Below are 13,562 nucleotides of genomic sequence, written 5' to 3' on the forward strand. Positions count from 1 at the left end.
GTATGAGAAAATCCTTCCATTTTAATTAGCACCTCTTTGGGATAGAAATACCAGTACACCATTCATTCATCTAAATGAAGAGTGGAAGATGCTTTCTATGATAATAATGAGACGATTTCTTGGCCATCAATGTGGCCTCCAAGAGCCATCTGTTCCCAGAGTCAGTGAGCAGTAAGGATTTATGAATGACTTCCAACAAACTCTGTGTGTGTGTGGCAGGAAAGGGCAAATCCAGCTGCTGTTTATTTTCACCAAGCATCTTGATATGTTCTTGAAACATTGCAAATTTGATGAAGCCCAAATACAGTTCGTCAAATACTTTTCTTTTCTAATTGGGAAAATGATTTGAATGTTAAGAGAAATTGCAAAATATGGTTCTGATTCATTCATATTTGCATCAAGTCACCAATGTTGTAGATCTCATCAATGCTCCACATCCCCAGGGTCTGCCAAAACAAAGGAGAACAGGCACAAACTCTCACACACTGACACAAATTCACAGACACATCTTTCCTTCTAATCTGGTGAAAATTAAACAGGGGTTTCAACTTTTCGGCTATTGTGGATAGAGCTGATACGAACATTTCTGTATAGATCTTTATGTGGACATATGCTTTCATTTTTCTTGGGACTATCTCAATGGAAGAGGACTCAAAGATGAAAACCCAGGTTACTCAAAGTTCAGTTAAATATTTCCCAATTTAGCAAGTGTCTAGGCATCGCCAAGGGACTTAAAATACCTTGGAGAATCGTTCCCTTGCCTATGACTTTGAGCTAGTCATCCATGAACGTCGGTCTTATGGCTCATTTGGCTTTTTCTAAAGTAACAGATGCTACAGAAGGAAGAGGCTCTGTGAGGGTGAACAACACAAACACAGTCCCTGTGAAATTAAATTAAAAATTAAGCGGCTGGGCGTGGTGGCTCACGCCTGTAATCCCAGCACTTTGGGAGGCCAAGGCGGGCAGATCACGAGGTCAGGAGATCGAGACCATCTTGGCTAACACGGTGAAACCCTGTCTCTATTAAAAATACAAAAAAATTAGCCGGGCGTGGTGGCGGCGCCTGTAATCCCAGCTACTCAGTGAGCCGAGATTACGCCACTGCACTCTAGCCTGGGCGACAGAGTGAGACTCCGTCTCAAAATAAATAAATAAAATAAAAGTAAGCAAAATATGTATGTTTATCTGTATGTATATGTGTGTGTGTGTGTGTGTGTGTGTGTGTCTAACTTCAAAATATGATAAATGCACTGAGGGATTTATACTGAATTCTATAATTCTACTTTTGTCTGAGTAACTAGGAAAGAAGTCTCTGAAGTGGAAAAAATTATTCTGAAGTCTGAAAAATAAGAAAGAGCCAGCAATGTGAAAAGTAGCTGTATAAGCATCAAAAAGAACATAGCATATATGAAAGTCCTGCTCTCAGGACTTAGAGGTTGGAGTACAGTAAATAAAGTGGAAAATGGATGAGATGAGGCTGAGTAAGGGCAAGGTTTCTTTCTTTCATTTTCTATCTTTAAAAAATATATATATACATATATATGTATATATACATACACACACACATAGAGCTGGGTGCAGTGGCTCTTGCCTCAGGCCAAGACGGGCAGATTGCTTGAGCCCAGGAGTTTGAGACCAGCCTGGGCAAGATGGTGAAACATTGTCTCCACTAAAGATACTAAAATTAGCCAGGGGGGGTGGTGTACACCTGTAGTCCCAGCTACTTGGGAGGCTGAGTTGAGAGGATCACCCGAGTCCAGGAGGTCGAGGCCACAGTGAGCCCTGATTATGCCACTTCACTCCAGCCTGGGAAAAAGAGCCAGACCTTGTCTAAAAAAAAAAATAAATAAAATATAAATGCAAATAAATAAACATATTGAACAATAATTTATATATAGTAAAAATACAAAGATCTCAAGCATGCAGTTAAGTTTTGACAAATGTATATACCCATGTAATCAAACCTCAAATTAGGATTAAAGGTATAGAACATTTCTGTAATCCCAGAAAATTCCATCACATTCAATTCTTGTCAATTAACACATATTTTGCTACTGCTACTCGCATCAAGAGGCAACCACTCTTCTGGTTTCTATTGCCATAAATAAGCATGGATTAATTTTTTCCTTTTTAAATATACAGGAATCAAATAATATGCATGCCTTTGTGTTTGGTTTCTTATTCTTAAAGTGATGTTTTTGGGATTCATTCATATATTGTATTTATTTTTATTGATGAGTAGTATTTCATTAAATAAAAATACAATTTTTTTCTACCAACTTATTAAAGAGAATTTGGACTATTTCTAGTTTTCAGCTGAGGCTGCTGCTCCTGACAAAATTGTCAACATCTGGCATTTTTTGCCTTTGCATGTTTTTCTTCTATCTTGACTTTTTAGATTTTCCAGTTCTCACAAAATGTGTTTGTTTTTATTCACTGTTTTTATTGTTCACTGAAGGGATTACAAAATGCACCCTTCAGCTATCACAGTAAAATGTGAGTTATACTATACTATTTCATGTACTAAGTAAGAAACTTAAGTCAGTAATCATCTGTTTACCTTCTCTCATTCTTTATGCTGTCATTACTCACATATATATGTATATATGTAATAGTCATATGTAGAAAATATTATATATTTTTTCCTACTACAAATTAAATTTCAAAATACGTTACATTTATTTTTAGATTAAACAATTATCTTTAAAACAAAATAAGAAAAGAAAAAAGAAATAATCTTCTGTATTAAAGTACATTTAAAAATGTCCAGCATTCTTTTCTACAGAAATTGAGTTTATATGTGGTATAAATTCCAAGTATAAAACACTTGTAGCATTTCTTGTTGTAAAGATCTATGAATGGCTTATCTATTTCTGGAATGTATTTCATTAAGAGTTATTTGAATCTGCTCTTCTTAGATACTTTTGTAGAACAGGTATGGCTTTTAGTTTAGGGTGTTTTTTTTTCCCCCTTGATGAGATCAAGGGAGTGACAGTCTTTTGTAGTTTTCCACAAAGTAATTGAAAGGTGAAGTCTTTCCAAGAGTAAGATTTTTAAGATTTTATATATACTTAACTATGCCATTGGCTATAGTGCAGAAAAGAAAAAATTATGATATAAATAAGTTTTCCAAGTAAATTAAAAAAAATTTTATAAATGGGATAGAAAAAAGGGATGAATAAAAAATAAAGGAAAGGATAGTAATACATAGCCTGAAGGGTTCTACGAGACATGAGAATGAGTGTGGTGTGTTGCACAGGAAGGGCATCTTTTTGATGTGAGTTAAATATGAATTGGCCTTTAATATTTGATGATGGAGAAGACTCTACTTATGAAGCTCAATTATGTTAAAAATTAGCTATTACCAAATAATTAAAAGACACATGCAATTAAACTTTTAGGTACCTAAAATTAAACTTTTAGGTAGATGGGATGAGAAAATGTGTCTAGTTTATTAATGCAGTTTAACAGGGGTAATTATATTCTTATCTGTATCCAAAAGGTGTTGGGATTTGGAGAGATGGCTTCATGAGCTATTTTAGGAAATGGGGCTAGGTTTGTTTAAAAGATCAGAAGCCAGTGTTCAGTTCTAAACTATGTATAGCAACACATACATAGAAAATTAGGCATACCACTTAAAATATGTTTGATGTATAATAGTTGCCCAGCAGATGTTAGATTATTTCACTTCTCTTAACCATTCCTACCCTGCACATGTATGTGAGTGCCTGTGAGTGTGCATTCATTCATACACATACCTACATACACACTCCTCTTTTGACATTTCCCCCAAGTGTTTGCACAAATAAGGTGATAAATGCCAGTATGATAATCATGGATTCAAAAGGGAAGAATCCTCTTCCTTTAGAGAAAGATAAACTAGGGAGATTTCCACAGGGTATTAAAGGAATGATGAGGCCACAAAAAAGGAGTAGTCATACCCTGTACCCATATGCATGCAAAGTTCTATTATCTGGGGATATTATGAATGTTTAAAGTTTGATGCATTCATAGAATTCACGGTGTGTTTTTTGTTTGTTTGTTTTGTCTTGTTTTGTTTTGTTTTTCTCGAGACAGTCTTGCTCTGTTGCCCAGGCTGGAGTGCAATGGTGTGGTCTTGGCTCACTGCAACCTCTGCCTCCAGGGTTCAGGCGATTCTCCTGCCTCTGCCTCCCGAGTAACTGGGATTATGGGTGTGCACCACCATACCTGGCTAATTTTTTGTATTTTTTTTTAGTAGAGACAAGTTTCATCATGTTGGCCAGGCTGGTCTCAAACTCCTGATCTCATGATCTGCCCACCTTGGCCTCCCAAAGTGCTGGGATTACAGGCGTGAGCGACCACGCCCAGCCCACAGTGTGTCTTTACCCCAAGAATCCTTTCTATTGGAGAACTACTACAACCACATTTCATGATGTGTGAGGAACTGTCAGTTGTCCCAGTAAGCTGTTGTGCATATGACTAATATAAGGTTAAAATTTTCTTGTTTCCTGATATGTGACATAAGTACATGGAATTAAGTGTTCCAAGTTCTCTATTATTGCTGGATCATCATTTCTAAAATTTAGTCTTAACACCATAGGAAGCTGTTCTTCCTAACAGTTTCATCACATACAGCCAAAAAATAAGGCCAATACTGAAAAGAAAGTAAAGCCATTAGATAAAGGTAAAGCCCTGGTTACATTGTTTAAGATCCTGGATGCAGCTATTCCTGGAACTAGACACTCCTCTATTTCCCAGGTACCTGAAACAATATATTCCCTTTTAGCAAAGTATGTTCATAATGAGTTTCTGTCACTTGTAATTACAGATTCTGGCTTATACACTTACCATTTCTTTCTTCATTTTACTGAGTGTGTATGAGTAATGCTATTCACCTTTCTTTCCACTCTGTTGCATCTTAAGAGCTCAGAAGCCCCTGTAAACACTTGAAAGAAGATCAGGAATTATACCAGATAGCTTAGTCTAACAGTCCAGTACTACTTTACCATGGTTGCACCTAATTTGAGAAATTTATGGACCTTGATCTCAAAGACTATTTTGGCATTTTTTTTTTTTTTTGCTTTATTTTATCTTTCTCGCTTAATGTGTGAGGACAAGGGATAGTGGTTCTTGATTTGTTTGATTGAATTGTATCCTCTAGAATTGTTTCAATAAAAAAAACCAGGGATCTTTTTTGAGTATTGGAAACATTCTAAAATTGCTTTAGCATGATGGTTGTACAACTCTCTAAATATTTTTAAAAATAATTGTGTATGTAAGTGTTATAGTATGTAAATTATACCTCAATTGTTCTGCTTTTTGAAAAGATAAGTGAGAGGAGGCAAAAGGAAGAGATGTACATGAGGGATGGTTTGGAGGAGGAGGGAGTTGCTACACAGGGATTCAGTAGCCAAGGGAAAAACTCAGGGCAGATGAGATCAAATTCACATTATTTTTAGGAGAATGCAGCATTATTCCTCTAAATATCTTGGAATGTAATAGAAGCATTTCATCACAGAATTTTCTGATATTTTTCTTTCTTCTATACACTCAGCAAATGACATCAATTTTGGCCACACAAAATGAAATGATGTATAAATCTCTTTTCTAATTTACAAAAGTCTACCCAATGATTCTACATTATTTTTAAGTTCTATCTTGTATTGAAATAATTTAATTTGCGTATTTAATGAAGTTGCTATGATAATATGAATAATTTAAATTTTTCCTCTTGTTAATCCTTCAATTATTCACTTTTTAAATTTTGACTTTAAAATCTAAGTCTAAAATCTAAGTCTAAAAAGACTCAGGAGGTAGATGTGCAAGTTTGTTACATGGATTTATTGTGTAACACTGAGGTTTGGGATATGAATGATCCCATCACCCACGTAATTACCATAGTGCCCAGTAGGTTGTTTTCCAGCTCCCCTGGCCTCTCTGTCTATCCTCCCTCTAGTAGTCCCCAGTATCTATCATTCCTATCTTTATGTCCTTGTGCTCCCACTTATAAGAGAAAACATGTAGTATTTGATTTTCTGTTCCTGCATTAATTTGCTTAGGATAATGGCCTCCATCTGATCTGCATTCCTGTTGCTGCAGAGGACATGATTTTATTAATTTCACGGCTGTGTAGTATTTCATGGTGTATATAAACCACACTTTCTTTATCCAAACCACTGTTGATAGGCACCTAGGTTGACTCTATGTCTTTGCTCTTGAAAATAGTGCTGCCTTACTCATTCTTTTATTTTACTTTATGTTTATCTCAGATTTCTGCTTCCGGGAAAATGGGGTAGGTATCCTTATTCTCCCTGTTGTGTATAACTAAAAATCTTAGACATTATATGTAAACAAACATAAGAAGACACTAAGGGGCCAGGCGCGGTGGCTCATGCCTGTAATCCCAGCACTTTGGGAGGCTGAGGCAGGCGGATCACGAGGTCAGGAGATCAAGACCATCCTGGCTAACACAGTGAAATCCCGTCTCTACTAAAAAATACAAAAAATTAGCCAGGTGTGGTGGTGGGCGCCTGTAGTCCCAGCTAACTGGGAGGCTGAGGCAGGAGAATGGCATGAACCTGGGAGGTGGAGCTTGCAGTGAGCCGAGATCCTGCCACTGCGCTCCAGCCTGGGCGACAGGGGGAGACTCCGTCAAAAAAAAAAAAAAAAAAAAGGAGGCACTAAGGTGTTGAAAAGAAAGCAGACTGTTGAGGAAACTCAGAAGCAAAGAAATAACATAGTAATAAATTGTCTGGATTTTTGATTTGCCTCTTATATCCCCAAAAGCCAGCAAAATGGGAATCCAATGAGATGTGAGAAAAACAATCCCCAATTTTTCCAAAGTAACAGCTCTACTACACCAAATACCCCAGAAAAAAAATTGATGCCACTCTTACCCATTTAAAAAGAAAAAAACTGAGTGTGGATCTTAGACTTCCACCCTTGCCAGGCTATAATGAGATTTTCATTCAAGGTAGGCATTCATGAGCACCAACCCTACGTGGTGTCAGTGGAGACCAAGTAGAGAGTTTGTACTTCCAGTAAACTTGACAGTCATTTGGTGCCCTTGCTCTCCCTACTGGGACGGTGGTAGAAGAAACCTTATGGAAAATCAGGATTTTCAATCACTGCCCAGAGATAATGAGGCCACACCTCGCCCTGTGGCATCGATAGAGACTAATTGAAGCACGAATGAGGATACCCTATGCCTTACAAGCCAAGTGTGTGTCTGTGAAGTCCTATATCACCTATGATCAGCATTACTGAGAAACCCTCTCATTGGTGTCAACAGATGCTTTATAGGAAACCTGGACTTCTATTTATACCTGGAAGTAACAAGGAAGCACTCACTTCTTTCTCTGATGGTACCATCAGAGTGATATTGGAGAAAGCCAGCTAAAATGGAAAATTTAAATACAATCCAGAGTCTAATAACACAATAACTCAGCAATGAGTGATTCAATAGAAAATCACTCATCATTCCAAAAACCAGAAAGATCTCAAACTGAATGAAAAACAATCTCTAGAGGCTAACACCAAGATGAACAAAATATTAGAATTATCTGGAAAACATATTAGAACAGCCATCACAAAAATCCTTCAATTAGTAGTTACAAACACACTGAAAAAATTTAAAAAGAAGTCTCAGCAAAGAAATGGAATACCTCAACCCAAAAAAAGAACAAGAAAAAGTAAATAAAAAATAGAACTTGATGGAAATTCTAAAACTGAAAAAAAAATGAAATAAAAAAATGAATGAGATTAGCAGCAGAATAGAGGACATAGAAAAAAATTGTTGAACTAGAAAGAAAACAATCAAAATTACACTATCTGAACTACAAAGAGAACATAAATTAAAGCAAAGGAACAGAAGCTCAGGGACCTGAGGAAACGTAAAAGATGACATCCATGTTATCAGCATTCCAGAAATTGAAGAAAAAATGAGTAGGGCTAAGAAATATTAAAAGGAATAATGCCTAAAAACTTTCCAAATTGTTCAAAAGAAACAAACCCATGGATTCAAGTGGCTAAGTAAACCCCAAATAGGATAAACCTTAAAAAATCCACACCAAGAACATCATAGTCAATCGTCTGAAAACTAAAGACAAAGTAAAAAACTAAAGACAAAGTAAAAAACTAAAGACAAAGTAAAAAGACACAATAATTTACCTTAGGGGACACTTTGAATAACAGTAGATTTATTATCAGAAACCATGGAGACCAGAAGAAAGTGGCACGACATGCTTTAAAGGCTAAAAGACCTACTAACTCAGCAAAATTATCCTCCTCTTGAGTTTTCTAAATTATATTTGATGCTTGAAGCAATAATTATAATACTATTTGATATGGTTCTAAATGTATGTAGAGGAAATATTTAATACAATTATATCACAATCCTTAGAGAGTAAAAAAGTGTAAATAGAGGTAGGATTTATACATTTCACTAGTAATGGCAAAATGATAACACCCATAGACTTGATAATATTATATAAATATGTATGAGTATATATATATATATGTATGCATATGTGTATGTACGCATATATGTGTATACATAATAACTTCATCAACTACTTAAAAAGCTATACAAAGAAATATACTCATAAATAGTATAAATATATATATATATATTTTTAAAATCTTCCAATAATACACAGAAAGGCAGGAAAAAAAATGGCAAGACAAATAAAAAACTAAAGAACAAACAGAAACAAAAAAAACCAAGGTGGACTTAAGCCCTAAAATAATGAATTTGAAATTAAATGCAAATAGTTTAAATATACTAAGGAAGGAGAATTTCAGGGCTTCAGTGGGAGTGAAACTGGCACTGTAACCCATCAGAAGGGAACAACAAGGAAATGCTTTTATTTTTAGAGATAGAGTCTGGCTGTGTCACCCAGGCTGGAGTGCAGTGATGCAATCTAGGCTCACTGCAACCTCCTCCTCACAGGTTCAAGGGATTTTCCTGTCTCAGCCTTCTGAGTAGCTGGGATTACAGGCATACACCAACACACCTGGCTAATTTTTTTTATTTCTTGTAGAGATGGGGTTTCTCCATGTTGGCCAGGTTGGTCACAAACTCTTCACTTTAAGTGATCCACCTGCCTCGACCTCCCAAAGTGCTGGGATTACAGGCATGAGCCACTGCTCCCAGCAAGGAAAGGCATAGACTACTTTCTGTTCTGCCTTCTTAGTGGTCAGTGAGCACTTAGTCTTGTGTGGTAAAGGTCTGAACCCATAGCTCTTTCCAGAATTGTTGGATTTACTGAAAGTGTTACAGATTAGCATTCACATTACAAAGAATCGTCCAAGATTATACATTTCCAAGATTAAGCATCTTTCCAGTGCAGGGCCAGCATACAACCTAAGAACAGTTGCCCCTTTTTAACCCTTTCACCCAGGAGATTTTTTTCCAGTTCAGGAGAGAAACTGGTACAGAGAATTCAAGGAAATTGGGTAACAGTTAAGCCATGTATCAGGAATTACACAAGCATAGTAGCTACGATGTGAACTCTGCCAGGGAATGTAAGGAGAGGTCTGACTTGACTTCTGTTTTGAAAAAGTTTAGGCATATTTCAAGCAACCATGAGGAGGAGCCAGTGTGGAACATACACAAAGGCTCCTATCATTGAATAATAAATAAAAACCACCAGTGACACTAATATAATTAGCTTCATGTTTCAGGAACACTTCTTGCATACAGATACACAAGTGAATATATTTTTAAATTTGGAGGAAAAATATCTTTAGTAGCTACAAATTTGAATATAAGTGAAAATTTAAACTAACTGCCAATTTGACTTTATTCTATATTATTATATCTTAATTTGTGTCCTCATCACATGCTTCTGTGTGAAGAGACCACCAAACAGGCTTTGTGTGAGCCATAAAGCTTTTTAATCACCCATGTGCAGGTGGGCTGAGTCCGCAAAAGGAGTCAGCAAAGGGAGTTTAGGGGTGGGGCAGTTTTATAGGATTTGGGTGGGTAGTGGAAAATTACAGTCAAAGGGGGTTGTTGTCTTGCGGCCAGGGGCAGGGGTCACAAGGTGCTCAGTGGAGGAGCTTCTGATCCAGGAGAAGGAATTTCACAAGATAATGTCATCAGTTAAGGCAGGAACCAGCCATTTTCACATCTTTTGTGATTCTTCTGTTGCTTCAGGCCACCTGGATATATATGTGCAGGCTTGGCCTCAGAGGCCTGCCAGTCCTCATAGATAACCTTTCTTCTAATAAGTATATGATTTAGAAGCTGACAGTTTTATATATCTTTTTCTAATGTTTTATCGATATTTTTCTGAAAAATTGAATTATTTTATGTTTATATTATAATTTAATGAAGAGAGTAATCTAGTTCCTTGCTATTTAAAGTGTGGTTTGTGGATTAGCACTATCTACCTCACTTAGGCACTTGATGGAAAAGCAGAAACTCGGGTTCTTCTGACCCCAGACCTAATAACCCAGAATCTGTTTTAACAAGATTCCTGTGTCATCCTATGCATGCTAAAGTTTGAGAAACACTTTTCTAGTTGATTAAAGTAGAATGACAATTGAGTTCATTCAACTCAGGGTTTTTGCTACTTTATCTTTGATAGAATGTATTTGTCCCTTTTCACAGGAAAATAGTAATTCAAAAATTAATGCCTAAACATTTATATGTAATGAAAAGTGAAAATTTACTCTAAGTACTTATATCAATTGGGATTAAATTTCTTTTTAATTTATTACCTGGCATTTAAATTCAGGTTTTCAGATGTCTAGGATACATCGGTTTCTCATTTAATAAAAATAAATACTCATTATATATTTCTGAATTTGTATTTTGGCAGGTACTTTCTTCATTATTTACTTTTCTTCTTCCTATGTGACTAAATTTTATTCCTGTTTTGTGCCTGTGTTGAGTCTGGCTTCTTCCATCTCAAAAACATCAGTACATATATACCACATGAAATTAAACCCACTGAAGAGCTCACCATTTTATCAAAATAAATGAACCCACTGGTTTTGTATGTAAATGCAAAAAGTTGTAAACCAATATAACAATCTTAAGCCCTGCAACTGACTGAATGGACCCCTCGTGGCCAGGGGGACCCCAAAAAACCTTAAAAACTGAATTCCTGGCCACTGGCCAGGATAAGAAAGGAGGTCAAACACACTCCCTTATATCCCCACCCTTTTGGAGTTTAGGCACAACTGACCAGCATTTTGGTTAAAATAGAGATAATAAAACTGACCAAACAAACTCCTTGTGTCAATAAAATACAAAATTATAAATATAAATAATTACCAAGACCTAAAGCTGTGCAAGGAAAGAATTTAGTCACACCCTACAAACCATAAAATATTGTTAAATGGACCTTTTCAATTAACCCAGTAAAATATGACTTACTTTTCAAGCTGACTCTGGTAAAGCATCATATGGAAGATAGCAGATCATGAAGGAAATCAAAATACTTTACCCCAAAATATGTTTATTTATCATAGTTTGAAATGGCCCTGCAAAGCCATCTTTTGTGGGGGAAATTTATGTCTATACAGAATCATCATTAATGCATCCAGGCATTCCCTTTTTAGGCCTTTCTGGGATCAAGAATAGATTAACTGATAGTCTTGACACCTTTAGCTCTGAAAGGAGACCTATTCTCTCTGAGGGCTGAGACCTTTGAGGCTTTATCTACATAACAAGAGCCTTGGTCCTCACAACCCTTTTATTTTTTATTTTTTTACTTTTTATTTTTTTTTTTCTGAGACAAAGTCTTGCTCTGTTGGCCAGTCTGGAGTTCAGTGACATGATGATGGCTGACTGCAGCCTCAACCTCCTAGGCTTAAGATATACTCCCTTGTCAGCCTCCTGAGTAGCTGGGACTACAAGCACATGTCACCATGCCCAGCTAATTTTTTTTTTTTGTATTTTTTGTAGAGATGGGGGTCTCATCATGTTGCCCAGGCTGGCCTCTAATTCCTGGGCAGAAGTGATCTGCACACCTTGGCCTCTGAAAGTGCCAGGATTATAGATGTGAACCATTGCACCTGGCCAACCTAATTTTGTTTACTCAAGCATTCCTTTGTACTGACTTCAGGTCTTTAGACAATAGTTTAACTCTCTCAGTCAACTGTTGACTAAGAAATCCCTAAAACCCACCTATGACTTGTAAGCCCCCACTGAAACGTCCGGCCTTTTCAGGCCCAACGAATGTTTACCTTACATGTATTAGTTTATGTCTTTGACAGGAACTCCTATCTCCCTTAAATGTGTGAAACCAAACTGTAACTCGGCTGCCTTGGAACTACTTACTCAAGACTTCTTGGTTTTGTATTTTTCTCTGGGCCACAATCACTCATATTGGCTTAGAGTAAACCTTTTAAAAATATTTTATAGAGTTTGGTTTTCCATTAACAAAATTATGAAAAACGAAGGCCTTTATTGTTTCATAACAAAAATGACTGCTGCAAATTGCCAACAGTCATTTCTGTTATTTCCTTCGGTTTCCTCTATAATTTACGTGCAAATGAACTATCCCTTAATGCATGTTGACCTCAGTATCTTTTAGTAGATTCTTGTCCATTGTGTCAGGGCTTTGACAAAATGAAGGATGTATTTTTTTGGTCCAGTAGGACATCTTCCTTCTGGCCTTTCTTTTTCCAGGAAGACTCCATTCTACTGAGAGGACCCAGCTGTAGCCTTGATTGAGGCATTCATTTTACAGCTGGGGTAAGCTTTCTCTGAAATGCAGCTGGAATAGGCATTTCAAAGGCCCACAGTGTTATGCAAATGCTTCTATTCTCCATGTGGGCGGCAGAAACCCAGCCAAGTGCCCAGACACACAGGCTGTCAGAATGGAAGAGGAAATGCATTGCTCAAGACTATCATCATTTTTCTGTTCATCTTTTATCTGAAAAAAAAAAAAAAAATCAGTAAAAGCACATAGAACAACCTAATCACTGGATGTTATGGCTAAATTGTCTACTTGAAGGGATTATTCATGTTTCTTTGACTCAAACCATGATTACGTTGAAAGATACACAAGGAATTGCCTAGGGGAGATGGCGATAGAACAAGATAGAACGAACTCAGTGGCTAGTTTGCCCAGTGAAGCTGTAACTGTTTTGAAGAATGGAAACTTCAGTTATCATGACCTGTTCTCTTTAAATGTCACAATTATATAATTGCTTTTCACATACACATTTAGTAAAGACCAAACAATGCTAATAATTTTCCTTCTCATATATTTTTCCTGTGGAGAAAGACTTAGATGACTATCAGATATACCACATAATAAGAGAGTATCTTGTGCTTCATTATAAGGGATAAGTGTGGTGCTCAACACGTATTACTTGAACAAACATTGAATATATACATCCGCATTTCAGTTCAAGCAGGTTAATCTCTGGTGACATTTGTTGGGGTTAAAGGACCTCACCGGATCCCTTCAACTGTAGCTATGAGATTGAAGGCCATTCCTTTGATCTCCAAAATCAGCCTGTCTATCATGGACCCTTGGAAGCTTGTCTTCCATGGTGATATACTAGCCTTTACCTCATCTTTCATCATTTGGAAGTAGGCTCAGTAGGTGAAAGAAAGA

The 13,562-nt window shown here is 36.6% G+C and overlaps 1 annotated feature.

Annotated features, from left to right (window-relative positions):
* Window positions 12,379-13,031: an enhancer, noted in NCBI's record as "OCT4-NANOG hESC enhancer chr16:62699049-62699701 (GRCh37/hg19 assembly coordinates)". NCBI's record gives its function as "activates a minimal SCP1, AML or CMV promoter by ChIP-STARR-seq in naive H9 embryonic stem cells {active_cell/tissue: H9 hESC(naive)}" and the evidence as "EXISTENCE:reporter gene assay evidence [ECO:0000049][PMID:30033119]".

This window comes from Homo sapiens, chromosome 16 (genome assembly GCF_000001405.40).
Source record: "Homo sapiens chromosome 16, GRCh38.p14 Primary Assembly".
Taxonomy (NCBI): domain Eukaryota; kingdom Metazoa; phylum Chordata; class Mammalia; order Primates; family Hominidae; genus Homo; species Homo sapiens.